The sequence below is a fragment of the Homo sapiens genome, chromosome 3 (genome assembly GCF_000001405.40).
Source record: "Homo sapiens chromosome 3, GRCh38.p14 Primary Assembly".
In the NCBI taxonomy this organism is placed as follows: domain Eukaryota; kingdom Metazoa; phylum Chordata; class Mammalia; order Primates; family Hominidae; genus Homo; species Homo sapiens.
Window position 1 is genome coordinate 142,483,054 of NC_000003.12, and position 18,066 is coordinate 142,501,119.

The following is an 18,066-nucleotide window of genomic DNA, read 5'->3' on the forward strand; positions in this document are numbered from 1 at the left end:
GCTGTGCAGTGGTGCAATCACAGCTCACCACTGCCTTGACGTCCCAGGTTCAGGTAATCCTCCCACCTCAACCTCCAAAGTAGCTAGGACTACAGGCACACACCACCACCCGTGGCTTACAGATATTGCTTTAATTTCTGAAAATATTTAACTGAGAAGTCATAGTACCTCATAATAGGCAATTTTAACAGATATATTGATCTGAAGATATCCTTCCATGTAAAGCAATGGTACATGAGTATGATAAGGAGAATGTATGGAATGATATTGTTTCTTAGCAATTAATAATTTATAAAAACATAAACAGTAGGCCTGAGATTATACTTGACTATAATACACCGATATATGAAATTAAAAGTTATATTTCACCTATTAACTAGTTTAAGAATAAGTACTTTCTACAAGTCTAATGTCAAAATCATTTTCATGTATATATATTATACCACTTCTTATTGGAATGGGCTAGAAGGAAGTACTCCATTGCAATAAAATATAACCACAAAGGCTGAGTGGAGTGGCTCACATCTATAATCCCAGCACTTTGGGAGGCCGTGGTGGGTGGATCACGAGGTCAGGAGTTCGAGACCAGCCTGACCAACATGGTGAAACCCCGTCTATACTAAAAATACAAAAATTAACTGGGTGTGGTGGCACACGCCTGTAATACCAGCTACTCAGAAGGGTGAGCCAGAGTCGCTTGAACCTGGAAGCAGAGGTTGCAGTGAGCTGAGATCGTGCCATTGCACTCCAGCCTGGGCGACAGAGCAAGACTCTGTCTTAAAATAAATAAAATAAAATAAAATGAAATAAAATAAAATAAAATATATATATATATAACCACGAAATATGACATTAAGGGTCTTCTGGAATTCTATGGTTGGGGACTCAGGGGATGAGGGTCTGGAATGAGAAGGATACTTAATTTGGTGCTGTTGAATTTTTTTAAAAATCCAGGCTGTGGAATTATAATACATATATTGGTTTTAGTTCACAGTTACTGGCTCCTAACTCCTCGTTTTAATGTCAGGGCACTTTAGGCCTCAGGAAACAGAATCTCTCTCTATGAGCTTCTCCTGTCCTTCACTCATCTGCCTAAGGGAGGATTCTAATCTGACTGTGAGTCAAAAGATCCTCATCCCAGAGAGGATCCTGCCCCATATCCTAGAGGAAGGAATGCTACATAGAAAAGGCCAAGAAAAGTCTGAACAGACAGACCTTGCTGGGTTTACATTATGAGCTATTTGTCCACTCACATTTCTACATGGTTGTCAATCATGCCCATGTAATAAAGACTCCATTAAAAACCCCACAGGACAGAGTTTGGAGAGCTTCCAGAGAGGTGAACACGTGGAGGCTGACAGGAGGGTGAAGAAGACCTCATCCACGTGCCAGGAGGATGGCACAGCCCATCTCCATGGAGACAGAAGCTCCTGTGCCGGACCCCTCCAGACCTCACCCTACCTATCTCTTCATCAGACTGTTTATTTGCATCCTTTAAAATATCTTTCTTAATAAACTAGTAAAAATGTTTCCCTGAGTTCTGTGAGCCACTCTAGCAAATTTATTGAACCCAAGAGGAGGTTGTGAGAACCCCAACTTGAAGCCAGTTGGTCAGAAGTTCCAGAGGCCCAGACTTGCAACTAAGGGAAGGAGGAGATGGTCTTGTGTCACCAAGCCCTCAACCTCTGAGGTATGACACCGTCTCCAGGTAGAGAGTGTCAGAACAGAATTGGAGGACACCAAGCTGGTGTCCACTGCTTGGTGTATGGGGAAAAAAACCCACATCTTTGGTCATGTAAGTCTTCTACTGTGTTGATGATTGCTGTGTTGGTGTGAGAGCAGAGGAATAACATAGTTAGAGAGAGTTTCCAAAACACATGTCTATATCACTTTTTTCATTTAAAAAGTTTTTAAAGTGAAGAAAAAAGTTGCATAAAGGAAAAATTTACATCTTATCTAAGGTGATACACTGAATCAGTCATAAGCCAGAAAATACCTAGAATATGCTAAGACATGTGATAACAGTTTCAATATTAATAGTCATCCTTACATATTTAATCTGCAAACATGCAGTTCTCATACTCACCTGCCAAAATGAAGAACTATATACCGGATGAGATCACCTTGCTTTTCCATTTTGTTGTCTGTGACCATGGGCATCAATTTGTCATAGTACTTGGCAAGGTAAAAATGCCCATCCTCCCATTCTGGCAGGCACGCGGTCACATCCTATAAAAAAGAACATAGGATACCTACCTAAGGAAATCCCACGCTATGCTGGGAAGTAAAATATGAATAGATGATTAGGGATCAAAAGTATGTGACCTTTATCTAGGCAGAGCAAAGTCAAAAGCAGACTCAATCTTTGATGTGGAAAAGGAATAGCTAACTTCTTGTAAAGGTTTTCTCAGGAGGGCTGATTTGTTCTGGTGGGTTGCCCACTGCCCAACATGAAATAGTGCTGGAAGAATTCGCAACTTAGGAGAAAACTCCATTTATGTCACCACTTTAAAAGATACATCAAAGTAGTGTCTGGATGGGTTAAATTTTTTTATACATATATATGATATGTGTGTGTGTGTATATACACATATATCATGAAAGGCATTTTTAAAAATCTTCAAAGCAGAAGTAATATCAAGTCTCTAAAGAGTGTAGGACTTTAAAAAGCATAAAAATTTTGGTAAAATAAAAATCACATATTTTGTTTTTCTCCAAGATCTCTCACAAGTTATTGCCCTTTCTCTCAATTCCTTCAGAAGCAGGCTTCTAAAAAGGATTCTCTACCTCACATTGATTCCTAAAACTATGTCTTTTCAGCTTCAGTCTTCACCACTCCACTAAGGAGCTCCTTAAATCCAAGAGATATTTTACAACTCTGATCTCATTTGAACTCTCTTCAATATGTTTCTGTTGTCCAAGTCACTTATTTCAAATGCTTTCATCCCTTGACTTCTGTGAGGCCACCATCTTCCAAGTTTTCTCCTCTCTTTCTGGCCACTCTCACTTAGTCTCCTTTGTCATTTCTTTTTGCTGTTCCTGCCTTAAATATTTGTGTGGTTTATTAATTTTTAATATTACATGAAATGTGATGGGAAATACACAGGATCACTGACAATTTTTTTTTTAATTGAAGTTCCACTTTTCATCTAAAGAAGTTTGAGAACAGTTTAGACCAGAAACCTTAAGTGAGATCTTGAGTTTCTACTGACTCTAATCTTGAGACTCTACAGACACAAACCTGCCTGGGAATAGAGGACAGAATGATATGATTAGACGTGTGGCACATGCTAGGTTCATGTACCTAATCAGCCACACAGGGTAAGGGCTGCCAGAAAAACATATTAGTCAATCTAGTCTTTCCTTCCTTTCTTCTTTCCTGCCTGTCTTCCTGCCTTCCTTTCTTCCTCCTTCCCTAACTTCCTTCCTCCTCCCTCTCTCATTTCAGCTTAGATTTTAAATATTTATTTTGAAAAGTAAAATTCACATACTGAAAAATACACTAATATTACATTTACAGCTTGATCAATTATCACAAAGTAATTACCTTTATATAAAATCTCCTTCCTCCCTCTCTTCTCTCTCGCTCCCTTTTTAGTTAAGATTTTTAAGTTTTATTTTGAAAAATAAAGTTTATATACAGAAACATATATGAATCTTATGTATACAACTTGATCAATTATTACAAATTTATCATCCTCATACAAGAACTCCAGGAGTTTTTTGTCTGTTTTTGAACTTTTATATAAATAGAATCATACTATAATAATTATTATTATTGGCTGGGCAAGATGGCTTATGCTTGTAATCCCAGCACTTTGGGAGGCCCAGGTGGGCGGATCACGAGGTCAGGAGATTGAGACCATCCTGGCTAACACGGTGAAACCTGGTCTCTACTAAAAATACAAAAAAAAAAAAAAAAAAAAAACAATTAGCCGGGCGGTGGCAGGCGCCTGTAGTCCCAGCTACTCGGGAGGCGGAGGCAGGAGACTGGCCTGAACCTGGGAGGCGGAGCTTGCAATGAGCCAAGATCGCGCAACTGCACTCCAGCCTGAGCGACAGAGCGAGACACCATCTCCAAAAAAATACATATTATTATTAGAGACAAGGTTTTGCCCTGTTGTCCTGGCTGGTGTGCAGTGGCATGCTCATGACTCCCTGCAGCCACAACTCCTAGGCTCAAGGCAATCCTCCCTCCTCAGCCTACGGAGCAGCTGGGACTAGAGGCATGTACCACCACACCCAGCTAATTTTTGTATTTTTTGTAGAGACGGAGATTTGCTATGTTTCCTAGGCTGGCCTTGAACTCCTCAGCTCAAGCAATCCGCCTGCCTCAGCCTCCCAAAGTGCTGGGATTATAGGCATGAGCCACCATGCCCAGCCCTACGTGTATTATATTTTTTATCTGGCTTATTTCATTCAACATTACATTTGTGATATCAATCCAAGTTATTGCATATAAATTTGGTTTACTATATAGTATTCCATTATAAGAATATGCTACAACATATTTATCCATTCTATAACTGATTGCCATTTGGATTACTTCCAATATAAAATCTACAAATAATAATGTTATAAACATTCTTGTGTTTATCCTCTGGGGACATGCTGGGTCATATTCCAGATATGAGCCTCTAATGTATTGCAAATATCTTCTAATCTGTAGGTTGCCTCTAACTCACAATGGTATCTTCTGATAAACAGAAGTTATTGTTTATTTTAGGGTTAGTGTTTTTGTTATGTTTAAGAAGTCCTGACCTAGATTAACAATCTACCTCAAGTTTACTTTTGTTTATGGTGGGAAGAAGGGATCAAGTTTGATTTTTTGTTTTCCTATAAGATACCCAAGTGATACAACAACATTTATTGAAAAGACTATTTTGGTTATTCACAGTTTGCCCCTCCAGATAGATACACTTGCCAACTTTAGCCTTTTCCACTCTGCTCAGTGCCCCAGCAAACTGAAATTGATGATTTATATCAATGGGCCTGTTTGCCCTCTGGCTTCCTGTGAAGTTCAATCAATGGAAGGTAGCAATAGATTAGAGGGTGAGGGGGAGAGTGAGGTTAAGGTCTTTATACCTGCTCGTTTCCTTCCTGCTGGGCTGCAGTTGACAGTGGTGGTGTTTCTTTCCCTAAGGTTAAGTTCTGGTCCAATGGTCCTTTCCTACAAATTTAGCTCCCTGTACAGGTTCCAGTAAATGCCCTATCCTTTTGCTCCTTCAGGTCTAGAGTTAGCAACGACTCTCTGTTGTTGCTAGCCATGGGGTACTTTCACCATCCTTTGTTAATTTCCCTTAATCTAGTTTTTCATTAAACTCTCCCCAATTACCTCTTTTGATTGGGCCAACTATTTTCTCCCTGCACCTGACCTCACACGATACAGTAAAGAGCATCTCAGATAGATTGGAGGTCACTAAGGAGATATGACAACTAATGCTATATGGAATCCTTAATTCTAGACAGAAGAAGAACACTATTGGGAAAACTGGTGAAATGTGGTCTACAGATAGTTAACAGTATTGTTTATCAATATTAATTTCCCACTTCTGATACTCTGGTAGTGTAAGATATTAAAATTAGTGGAAACACGGTAAAGGGTAGATATGGAAATTCCCTATACTACTACTAACTTTTTAGAAGTCAAAGATTATTTCAAATTAAAACTGAAAAAATGAAAGGTGACAGAGAAGCTTCTTGGTTATTCTTGGCCTTTATGTTTCCACATAAGTTTTAAATTCTAATTGTCAATTACCTGTTAGCATTTGATGAGTAATGCATTAAACCTCTAGGTCAGTTTGTAGAGAAATAATTATATTATTGAGTCTTCCCATTCATACATGTATTCTAGCTACCAATTTATTTAGTTCTTTTTTACTTCACTCAATTTTAATGTTTTAATTTTTATTTTGTGGAGAGGTCTTGTGTGCAATTTAATCCTAGGCATTTCATCATTTTTATTGCTATCCTAAATGATATCTTTAAAAATTTTAGGCTGGGCATACATGGTGGCTCACAACTATAATCCCAGCACTTTGGGAGGCAGAGGTGGGAGGATCAGTAGAGGCCAGGGAGTTTGAGACCAGCCTTGGCAGAACAGCAAGACCCTATCTCCACAAAATAAAAAATTAGCTGGGTGTGGTGGCATGTGCCTGTAGTCCCAGCTACTTGAGAGGCTGAGGTGGGAGGATCACTTGAGCCCAGGAGGTTGAGGCTGCAGTGAGCTGTAATCATGCCACTATACTCCAGCCTGGGTTGACAGACCAAGACCCTGTCTCAAAAATAAAATAAAGTAAAATTTTAAATCAACTTTCTTAAGACATATACACCCATGGAACCATCATTCCAGTCAAGAAGATGAACATTCCTAACTCTCGAAAGTTCTTATGGGCGCCCACCCTTGCCGTCACTCTCCTGCCAACTACCCAGGCAAATACTGATATAATTTCTATGCATATACATTAATTATACCTGTTCTAAAATGTCACATAAATGAAATCATATAAGCATATAGTCTTTTATGTCCCTCTTCTTTCATTCAGCATATCTATGACATTAATCTACCTTGTTGCGTGTATCAGTAGTTCATTTCTTCTTACTGTAGGGTAGTATTCCATTATACAACTGTACCAGTTTGTTTACCCATTCTTCTCTGGATGGCCAGCTGGCCTATTTCCAGTTTTTGTGACTAAACCTACTATAAACATTTGTGTACAAGTCTTTTTATTGACATATGTAATTGTTTCTGTTGGATAAACACCTAAGAATGGAATGGAATATGGTAGATTTAACTTTTTATAGTCCCCACCAGGTGCATTTATTGCATTAATAGGTATTGCTAGTCTTTCAGACTTTAGCCATTTTAGTGTGTAATGTGTTATTTCATTGTGGTTTTAATTTGCATCTTCCTAATGACTAATGATGTTAAGCATCTTTTCATTTGCTTTTTGGCCATTTGCGTGTATTCTTTATGAAGTGTCTATCCAAGACTTTTGCAGATCTGTATTTTTTTTCTTTTAATAGACAAAGTTTCACTCTGTAACTCAGGCTGGAATGCAGTGGTGCAATCATAGCTAACTGTAACCTTGAACTCCTAGGCTCAAGTGATCCTCCTGCTTTAGCCTCCCGAATAGCTAAAACTATAGGCATTCGTCACCATACCTGGCTAATTTTTATTTTTGCAGAGACAGGTTCTCACTATATTGCCCAGGCTGGTTTTGAACTCCTAGCTTCAAGTGATCCTCAGGCCTCGGCCTCCCAAAGCACCGGGATTACAGGCCTGAGCCACTGTGCCTAGCCTCACAGATCTTTAAATTGTCTTACTAAGTTGTAGGGTTCTCTATAATTTAGCTACAAATCCTCTGTCATATATGTATTACAAGTATTTTCTCCAAGTCTATGGCTTACCTTTTCATTTTCTTAACTGTCTTTCTTAGAAAAGGTTTTAACTTTGATGAACATCTAATTTATCAGGATTTTTTAAATGCTTAATGCTTTGTGTGACCTAAGAAAACCTTTGCCTACCCTAAGGTTGTAAAGATTTTCTTCTATTTTTTCATCTAAAAATTCATAATTTTAGCTTTTCAGTTTAGATCTATAATCTACTTTTTTGAAGCAATTTTGTCTATCATATGAGGCAGAGGTTGAAGATCATTTTTTTCCTCATACAGATATCCAACTGTTCAAGTACTTTCTGCTTGTAAATGGTATGTTTTAAATTCCTTTCTTGTTGTCATATAGAAATAAAATCATCAGGCAATCTTGTTTAATTCACTCAATATTTTGAATAGTTTATAATCTTTTGAATTTTCTACATATGTATTCATATCATCTGCAATTAATAACTTTCCTATATTTTTTTCCTAGTCCTTGTATCTTTTACTTCTTTTTTTATTTAAAGATTGCCATTTGGGTAATATTTTAAAATGACAGCTCTATTGGGATATAATTAATATATTATAAAGTTCACACTTTTAAAGTTGTTGTTAGTATATTTACAGAGTTGTGTAACCATCACCACTATTTAATTCCAGAACATTTTCATCACTCCAAAAAAAAAATTGTACCAATTAGCAGTCACTTCCCAGCCCCAACCTCAGTCTCTAGTACCCATTAATCTACCTTCTGTCTCTATGGATTTGCTTATTCTGGCCATTTCATGTAAGTGGAATCATGCAATATGTGGCCCCTTGGATCTGCATGTCATTCTACAGTAGTCAGCCTCTATTCTTTTCTCTACTCATTTCTGTCTACATCATGTATAGGCAACCAGAACAAGAGAAGCAGCTACTGAGGCCTTTATGACAGGAAATTAGGGGTGTATGCAGAAGAAACAGAACCTGAAAAGTTGGTAGTCTGACAACATCTCTCTTCCCTAACCCTGGCTTTAGTACCCAGGCAGAGATGGGAGAACTGGAATATTTGCTATCAAATTCTGCTGTTAAGTACTGGTGAGTTTTTGTGTGCCTCATAAGTTGTTGTGTCTTACATACTAGAATAAATTCAGAAGATCTCTCTAACTGGGAAGGTGAAACTTACAAGTATGGTTTCAGAACTTGCCTCATTATCACTGCCCTTTAGGATAATATAGTTTTTAATGCAAATCAAGGTTAGTTTCTTAGGTGGCATGACATCTTCTTGTAACCAAGGAACAGGAGCTGGACTCCTATTTATCTTCATCAGAATGCAACACTTCCTGGATCTAAAGATTAGCACTGTCTGTGCCATTTGCTTTGGCTGTTGGTCCCATTTAGGTCTTTCTTGTATCTTTGATTTCTCTCTCTTCTCATCATGCTCTTATTTTTGTTTATGTTCTTAAACTTATGGAGCCTATATACAATAGCTGTTTTTAAATCCTGTCATTTCTAGAACTATTTCTACTGATTTATTTTTTTTCCTATCTGTGGCTCAAATATTCCTGCTTCTTCATTCACAGAGTAATTTTTTAATGGATGCTGGATATATTTTTACATTGTCAAGTTTTAGATTTTGTTGTCTTGCTTTAAAGAGTGTTAGGCTTTGATCTGGCAGGCAGTAAGGTTACTTGAAGATCAGTGTAATCATCTTAAAGCTTGTTTTACTGCCCTTCTAGTATGGATATAGAGTAGTTTTTAGCCTAGGACTAATTTAGTCCTACTTCTAAGGTGTGGCCCTTTTAAGGTCTTTACTGAATGCTCCATATTATGCAATGAGGCCTCTTAATCTGGCTGGTGGACTGAATAACTCTCAATCCTGTAATCTGAATGAATCTCAATCCCGTGTGAGCTCTGGAAATTGTTCTTATAGCCTCTGCATGTTTATTCTTTCCCCAGCAGTTATTCCTAGCTTGGCCTCATAGAATTCTGAATTATTCATGTGCAGGCTGGTATTCAGCGAACACAATTCCTATGCAGATAGGAACTACTCTGTTTAACTTTTTTCTCTCAGTTAATCTGTCCCACAAATTCTAGCCACCTGCTCTTTGCTTTATTATTTCCTTTCTTCTACTTTTTTATTTCTCTCCCTACTTTTTTAGTTCCTTTTCTAACTCTTTGGGATAGATACTTAACTCGTTAATTTTGAACCTTTATTTTCTTCGAATATATGCAAATAAAAATTTAAATCCCTTTTAAGAATGGCTTTAGCTGCACAGGATATGATATGCCATTTTTATTATCATTCAGTTCAAAGTACTTTTCAATTTCCATTGAAAGTTTTCATTGACCCATGGATTATTGAGAGGTATATCTCTTACAACACCATCTATATAAAGTTTAATACCTAGTAAAGAAGTTATAAATTGGTTTTGCTGAAAAATTTTCAGGCTAGGATGTAGTTAACTTTGAGACAGAGGGTGAGAATAGTGATTACTGGGATGAAGGGTAGTGGGGTTATAGAGCTCAAATAATATTCTATTTCTTGATGTGGTGGCAGTTTCATGAGTATATTTATTTTGTGATAATCCATATACTTATATACTCACTGAAAAGTCAAAAAAATTTCCTGGTTATTTTTATACATGTGCTTTGCCATATAGACTTAAGTCATTTTACGTAGTCAACAGAGTTAACTGAAACTGCATTATACATATACTTGCCTTATATTTTTTCATAATTGCATTGCTTTCAAAGTTAGCTGTTTCTTCCATAAATCGGCCCACTAGTAGCATAGCTCGACCATGGATTAACATGTTCTTACCCTCAGGTGGGGTTTCATTTTCAGGAAAACATAATTCAACACCTTTTTGAAGAACAATTAGTGCCTGGTGAACATCACCCTAAAAGAAAAAAGGCAACAATAAGCCTTTTAATTTAAAAACATACTTCTATTTTCTGCAAAAGTATTAGTTCATTATGTTTTTGTACAAATCCATTTGTAATTTCATGTTTATCTTTTACTTGCCTCTTATTAAAGTAAAATTCTAAAACTGAAACATTGCTTCATCTCATTCATTCATTTACTAATTAATTTTATAACTGCAGTTGGCTCTCTGTAGCCACAGGTTCCACATCAATGGATTCAACCAACAGTGGATAGAAAATATTAGGAATGGCTGGGCACAGTGGCTCATCTCTGCAATTCCAGTGCTTTTGGATGCCAAGGCAGGGGGACTGCTTGGGGCCAGGAGTTTGATACTAGCCTGGGCAACATAGCAAGATCCTGTCTCTACAAAAAATTTAAAAATTACCCAGGTGTAGTGGCTCATGCCTATAATTCCAGCTACTCGGGAGGCTGAGGGGGAAGGATCGCTTGAGCCCAGGAATTCGCAGTTACAGTGAGCTATGACACACCACTGCTCTCCAGCCTGGGTGACAGAGCAAGATCCTCTCTCTTAAAAAAAAAAAAAGAAAGCTAGGCATGATGGCTTATGCTTATAGCCTTTGATACAAAGTTCAGGGTGAGGTGGGAGGATTGCTTGAGAGCAGGAGTCCAAGGCATCAGTGAGCTATGATCATGCCACTGCACTCCAGCCTGGGCAACAGAGCAAGACTCTGTCTCTCTCAAAACATAAAAATTTAAATTAAAAAAAAAAAGAAATATTACAAAGAAAAAATTAAAAATAATATGAATAAGCAATACAAGTATAACAACTGTTTACAAAGCATTTGCACTGTATTAGGTATTATAAGTAGCCTAGAGAAGTATACAAGAGGATGTCCGCAGGTTATATGCAAATACTGTGTATGCCACTTTATATAAAGGACTTGAGTATCCACAGATTTTGTTATCCATAGAGAATCCTGGGACCAATCCCTCCATGGATATCAAGAAAGGACTATAATCAAAGTTCAGGGAATTGAAGACAATCACAAACAAATTAAAATCCCTGACATAAAAAAAGTTCATAGTCACATGAGAAAAGAAACTATGTGAAATAAAAGCATATTTGCTAAGTGTTACAACAGAGGAATATACATCAGCATTATACAGGATAGAGAAGAGAGTCCCTTAAACCTACCTGAAGAATATAGGAAAATGGAGGAGAACTACAGTCAGGAAAAGTTATCAACGAAGAAAATTTGAATTAGGTTTTCAAGAATGAGTAGAAATCTTCTTGGCAGAGAATTTAGTGAAAGGCATTCTAGGTAGATGGAATAATAATTTTAATTGGAAGAAAAGCACATAGTCTGATTTTAGCTGAAGTTTAAAGGGTTTTTGAGATGGTGATGAATGACACTGAGGAAGTAGGCCAGGACTTGATCAGAAAGGGATTTGTGTAGTTCCTAGAGTTAGGCTTAATCCTAAAGGTATGAAGAATACTTTGTAAGATTTAATCTTTTTGAAGGAGCAACATGATTCGATGTGGATTTTAGAAAGATCACAAACTGCAATAACGTATACAGGGAAATGGTGAGATCCTAAAATGGTTGTTAATATTGTTAGAGGAAGTAAATAATAAAGTCATAAGTTAAAGCAGTGGAAATAAATAAGAGGGAGAGGATTCAAGAGATATTTCTAAGGTTGAAGAACAAAGATTTAGTCTCCAGCTGGATGTGAAAAGTGAGGTTGCAGAAGGAATTTAAGATGATGTCCAGATTTCTGTTTTTGATGGAAGGATGGAATAAAGTCTTGTTCAGAGAAGTAGGAAACATGAGAGGAGAAACAGATATTGAGTATTAGGTAATAAATTGCATTTTGAACATTTTGAGTTTAAGGTATTATAATACATAGACTACCACTAGCTCAATAAAATGACCAGGTACTGACTAATGCACACTGAATAAATTGCTTTCCCCTCTCATCCAGGAAACCTCTCCTGTCCTTTCTCAGCCACCACAAGTTGGTGTAACCACAAATGGCACCAACAATAGTTGCTAAGTATCAATTCCAGAACATGCTATTATTATTAGTAATGCCTATTACTAATTCTAAACTGGTGACTAGCCTGAGGAGAAATTTAAGTAATAGCCATTAAATCTGGGTTATTGGCCAGGCGCGGTGGCTCACGCCTGTAATCCCAGCACTTTGGGTGGCTGAGGCAGGTGGATCATGAGGTCAGGAGATCGAGACCACCCTGGCTAACACGGTGAAACCCCATCTCTACTAAAAATACAAAAAATTAGCCAGGTGTGGTGGCACACACCCGTAGTCCCAGCTACTCAGGAGGCTGAGGCAGGAGAATCACTTGAACTCGGGAGGCAGAGGTTGTAGTGAGCGGAGATCGTGCCACTGCACTCCAGCCTGGGCAACAGAGTGAGACTCCGGTTCAAAATAAATAAATAAATAAATAAATAAAAATAAAAAATAAATCTGGGTCATAAACCTTGCAAGTAGTTCCAATGTTTAAAAAACCCCCTTCTTATTACTTTGGCTTTAATCTGAGGTCTGCCGTGAACTTCTGTTCAGATGCTAGGCCCTTTCTGGCTAGATCAGAGCTGAATATTTACAGTAACACTGGCAAGTCTACAGAGAGCTAATTATCTGCCAGCAACTAAGTGACAGAGTTACATTCATTTAACCAACATTTACTGGGTCACTACTATATACACCCTGTATACATACATAAGGTGAAAAATTAAGAGGTCGTTTTCCTCAAGGAAAATGTAAGATAGATGAAAACTGAAAAAACTCCACATTCAGCCTTGAAATGGGAAGGTATCTGGGGACTGTAGAGTAAAAAGAACAATTACTTCCAGGCTATGGTAGATAACTAATGAAGAAAAGTGATAGAAAAGGAAGGTTCTTAATTTGGATTAGTTATGTTCTCTCAGTTGGCCTTTTAAGGAAGTACATAATTCCCGACTATATATATATATATATATATATATATATATATATATATATATATATATATATATATATGATGACATTTCCCTGGCCATTACCTTGGACCAGAGCCACTTTGCCCTTTCCACGTACAGTTCAGCGAGTCGTGATTCCCCTGCATTAAGGAGAGCATTGTAGGCTGTCTGGTGGTGACCAGCCTTTCTAGCTACCCTGGCACTCTGCAGCCAGCATTCTCCAACCATTTCATTGTAATCTGGTCTAAAGGAAGTAACAACACATTGGTGAGAGAGACCATTGGTAAGTGTACACAACAACTTAACTTAAAACAATTTAAATCTAGGTCATAAACTTTGCAAGTAGTTCCAATGTTTTGAAAGCCTCTGTTCCCAATACAGAACCTTCTTCATATACTATTTCAAAGGAATTAATTATTAATTTGTTTAAAAAGCCTTGACTTAACTTTTCTTACAGTGTTCTGTTTTACCTATTATGAACCTTATTCTTGATTTTTATCAGTAAAAAACATATCCCCCAGATATGTTTTTAACATCTTAAAAAAGAGAAAGAAATGGTGTCTAAAAGTGATTCTTAAGTTCTAGGTTCCTTTCAACCAGATAGTGTAGCCCTGATCATTAAAAATAGAAAAATGTAGATTCAGACAGAAAATTAAGAAATACAAACACCCCCAAATAATATCCAAATACCAAATTCAAGATAAGTGACATTTTTAAAAAAAGTAGTGTGAGAAACCTTTTGTTGAGGCTTAGTAAAGCCCTCCGGAGAGCCAGGATAGGCTCCTTGGCTCTGTAGGAATTCTGGGTCATTTCTAGTCGAGCTACCCAGTTTAGAGAATCTTCTTGAGAACTGTCACCTGGAGAATGCTGGAAAAGTGGTTTGATGCTATGCTCCAACTCACATAACATGTGCAATCTGAAGATAGATAGAGCCTATGTTAAAATGTTATCATATTCAGCCTTATTAATCTCATATATAAAGCAAGTACTTTAAATCAGAAATAAAGAATTTAAAATACACAGTTGTCTTTGGTAGAACTTTAATATATCCTTGCTAAGTAAATAATTACATTTATATCTTTTCAAACTGAATGTAAACACCAATTTATGCTGGTTTATACATTTGGTGCTTTAGCCAGGCATGGTAGCGTGCACCTGTACTCCAGCTACTCAGGAGACTGAGGCAGGTGGATCACTTGAACTCAGGAGTTCAAGGTTGCAGTGAGCTATGATTATGCCTGTGAATAGCCACTGCACTCCAGCTCAGGTGACATAGCAAGACCCCGTCCCTTAAAATAATAAATAAATAAATAAATAAATAAATAAAATTAATTACATTAAACTTTTAAAATAAATATTTAGGGATTTGCAGTGAATCCCAAATTCCTAATTAAACTGGAGAATGATGGATAAAACTAAATTCAAATGTATGAAACCAAAATTTACCACCTAAATGAAGATAAAAGAAAATATGGATCCATTATAAACCAACATGAGGTATTTGCATATATTGCTGGTGCTACTATAAGAGGGCCTGGCATAGCAGATGATAGTAAAAAATTATGAAATTAATGTAGTTTTTTTCTAAGAGTGATGGAAACTTTGATACATTCACACTAGCTTTTTCCCCCTTGTATGATAGTCAGTGTCTATGATTCAGTGTTCAAGGTACAAGGATATAGCTGAGTAGCTACAGAACAGAATTAAACTCAGTGGTCCAATCTCTAGTTTCATTAAGATATCACCAAACGGGTTGATACTAAATATAATGAATTCTTCTAACTTAAAAAAACAGTGCTATGTAGTAAATTTCTTATACCTTAATTACAATATTTAGTTTATCATTTTTCCTCAGGTAGAATTCATAGACCTAAAATGTTTTCCAACATTTTCTTCTTCACCTATAAAAGTTAATATTCTTTCTAGTAATGTGATGCCTATATTTTTGGGGGGAAATATCAAACACATTTCTAAATGAAAAGGAAAGGGAAACAACAAATACCAAGCACCAATGTGCCAGGTGCTATAGATGTCTATATTATATTTGGTTATATAGAAAGCAAACTATGACATTACAAGAGGACAAACATAAGATATTTTTATTATGTTTTTCATTAGTCTCATAGTTGCCTTTCCTTAAAAGGATGTATGTTAGAATTTTAACTGTAGGGTGATTGTGAGGTAAAAAGAATGAAAGAGCTGTCTAGTGTAGCTATGCATGAAACCAAACTCACTATCAATTATTTACTCAAAAAAATTTTCCAATCCTGTCAGGTGACATTTATAGGCCAGAAATATAAAAATGGAAATTCCAAAATACCTCACAATATATTCATATCCTCGTTGGTAGGAGCCTCTTTCAAAGCTTGCAGCTGAAAGAGGTACAATTTGTTCTGCTCTCACTAGTTTCAGTGAGTCATAAAAAGCTGTGATATCTCTTTTTTTGGCTGATAATAATAGCTGTCCCAGTCTGACACTCCATGTTGTAGATTTTCCATCTGAAAAACAAATGAAGAGTCAAGAAATGTCACGGTAGCTGGGTCCAAGAGTCAGCTTTATTTCATTAGATAAAATGGTCAGCTGAAATATCAAACAGGTGGCTTCATTCCTTTTTTTTTTTTTGAGACAGAGTCTCACTCTGTGGTCCAGGATAGAGGGCTATGGCATGATTATAGCTCACTGCAGCCTTGAACTTCTGGGCTCCAGTGATCCTCCCACCTCAGTCTCCTGAGTAGGTGAACAGGCATGAGCCACCATGCCCAGCTAAGTTTTTTAAAAAACATTTTTGCAGAGACAGTCTCAGTATTTTGCCCAGACTGGTCTAGAGCTCTTGGCTTCAAGCAATCCTCCCACCTTGGCCTCCCAAAACACTGAGATTACAGGTGTGAGCCACCATGCCCAGCCTGGTTTCATTCTACTTTGAACAACTAAACAAGGCAATCATAAAACAGGCTAAGATATTAAGTATGAATGTTGCTAAGTTACTTAAGTCTGAATATTTATGTCATATTAAAACCGCTTTTTTTTTTTTTCTTTGAGATGGAGTCTCACTCTGTCACCCAGGCTGGAGTGCAGTGGCGCGATCTCAGCTCACTGCAACCTCCAACTCCCAGGTTCAAGCAATTCTCCTGCCTCAGCCTCCCGAGTAGTTGGGACTACAGGCGCGTGCCACCACGCCCAGCTAATTTTTTGTATTTTTAGTAGAGACGGGGTTTCACTGTGTTAGCCAGGATGGTCTCGATCTCCTGACCTCATGATCCGCCCGCCTCAGCCGCCCAAAGTGCTGGGATTACAGGCGTGAGCCACCGCACCCATCCTAAAACTGCTTATATTTTAAGAAGTAATTTTACCTGCTGCCAAATAGTTTTCCACCAAATCCCACTGTGACAATTTCCAAGCTGCTTCCACTCTGTACGTGTTTAATTCATCTGTCCACTCGGACCTATTAAAAGAAACCCATATCAACTAAACTTTAATTTATTTAAGGTGACATTCAGAGATTTTTCATTGGTTTACATACTCTATTTATTATATTTATTGAATTTGCATTATATTGTATTTTGTTCTTAGATATAAAATAATTATCTCTATCCAGAAACTATCCAGAAAATTTTAATCTTTCCATCCTTCAAAAATATTTTTTCACTAATTACTTCTGATACACCATTTAAAATGACATTCTTCAACAAATTAAAGTGTGCCATATATTAGAGCAGAGTTAATTCCTGAATAATAACTAAGCCCATTGTAAAAATAGCTGCATGCTTAATTTGAACAAAGAGCAAGGAAGAAAAAGAGCCAACTGAACACACATAAATTCAGAGGTAAGCAATTCCAATAACTCAGAATTCTGAATTAAATTTAAGACAAAAATACAGGGGGGCCAGTGGTATAACTTACGGACAGTTGGGAGGTATCTAGAACAATACCAAGAGCAAAAGAAAGTTACAATGATTTGTCAATGGCATAACAAAGTATATAAAACTAGCTACGTAAAATATATACCTATTTTTAAACTACTTTCAGTTAGTTTAAAATTTGAGTTTGCAAAACCAGTATGATATAGGCTAATTATTTTGTTCTAAGCATTCTACTTAGGTGACATTAGGATGACCAGTGATATTTGAGATCATGACTACACAGAAACCGCTAGGCTTTCCTCATGTTTCTTTTTTATTAATCATACTTTCTGAATTTCTGCCATATGTTTAGATCCTAGGCTAGGTACAATTTTCCATTTAATAATCTAATAACACTGCATACAGCACATATATATCCATATTATAAATAAAGTAACAGAGAGGCTGGAATCAATATCCTCAAAAGTTTTCCTTGCTCTTTTTATTGTAGTAAAAACACATAAAGAAAAGACAACAAGTGATCTAACAAGTTTCATTTTTAAAAATTCTAAAAATAGAAGCTAGAGGATTCCAATTTCTAAATTTATGACCACCACCAAAAACAGTTTAGAATAAGGCTAAAGAAATACAACTGAAATGTAATTTTCAAAAGTCCAATTTTGAAGGACTTTACAAGCTTACCATCAGACACCAAAATATAAAAATTTCAGGATAAAAATCTCAGTAGAATTAGGCAGTATTTGTTATCCAACTGTGGGATAACAGATTATCTATGGGATATCAGATAACAAAGGGGATGTGTCACACGAAGACTTATAGCAAAAAGTACAAATGGCAATCAGGATCAGGCTGTGAGAATGTATCCACATAAATGGGTACATTAAAAAGAATGATAAATAGGGCAGGCACAGTCAATATTTTAGGAAAAATATTTGTTTAATGCAAACAGAAATTACCCCAAGAAAAACATGCCCCATCCATAA

At 36.8% G+C, this 18,066-nt stretch overlaps 1 protein-coding gene across 9 annotated transcripts in view, besides 1 other annotated feature; it reads right to left on the reverse strand.

Moving 5' to 3' along the window:
* The window catches only part of ATR (ATR checkpoint kinase), a 129,499-nt gene that overhangs the window by 33,819 nt on the left and 77,614 nt on the right, over window positions 1–18,066 (reverse strand). For 8 of the 9 annotated variants that reach the window (NM_001354579.2, XM_011512925.2, NM_001184.4 and 5 more), the window contains 6 exons: window positions 16,574–16,665; window positions 15,544–15,721; window positions 13,960–14,139; window positions 13,308–13,467; window positions 10,079–10,258; window positions 2,087–2,229 (listed from right to left, as the gene is read on the reverse strand). In NM_001354579.2, coding sequence (NP_001341508.1) covers window positions 2,087–2,229; window positions 10,079–10,258; window positions 13,308–13,467; window positions 13,960–14,139; window positions 15,544–15,721; window positions 16,574–16,665 — 933 coding nt within the window. Of the gene's footprint in view, window positions 1–2,086; window positions 2,230–10,078; window positions 10,259–13,307; window positions 13,468–13,959; window positions 14,140–15,543; window positions 15,722–16,573; window positions 16,666–18,066 lie in introns of those variants that run through there. The other variant, XM_047448364.1, reaches the window with a different exon arrangement.
* Window positions 1,781–2,980: an enhancer, noted in NCBI's record as "BRD4-independent group 4 enhancer chr3:142203676-142204875 (GRCh37/hg19 assembly coordinates)". NCBI's record gives its function as "activates an origin of replication core promoter dependent on BRD2, P300/CBP, MED14 and CDK7 cofactors, and independent of BRD4, by STARR-seq in HCT116 cells {active_cell/tissue: HCT116}" and the evidence as "EXISTENCE:reporter gene assay evidence [ECO:0000049][PMID:35650434]".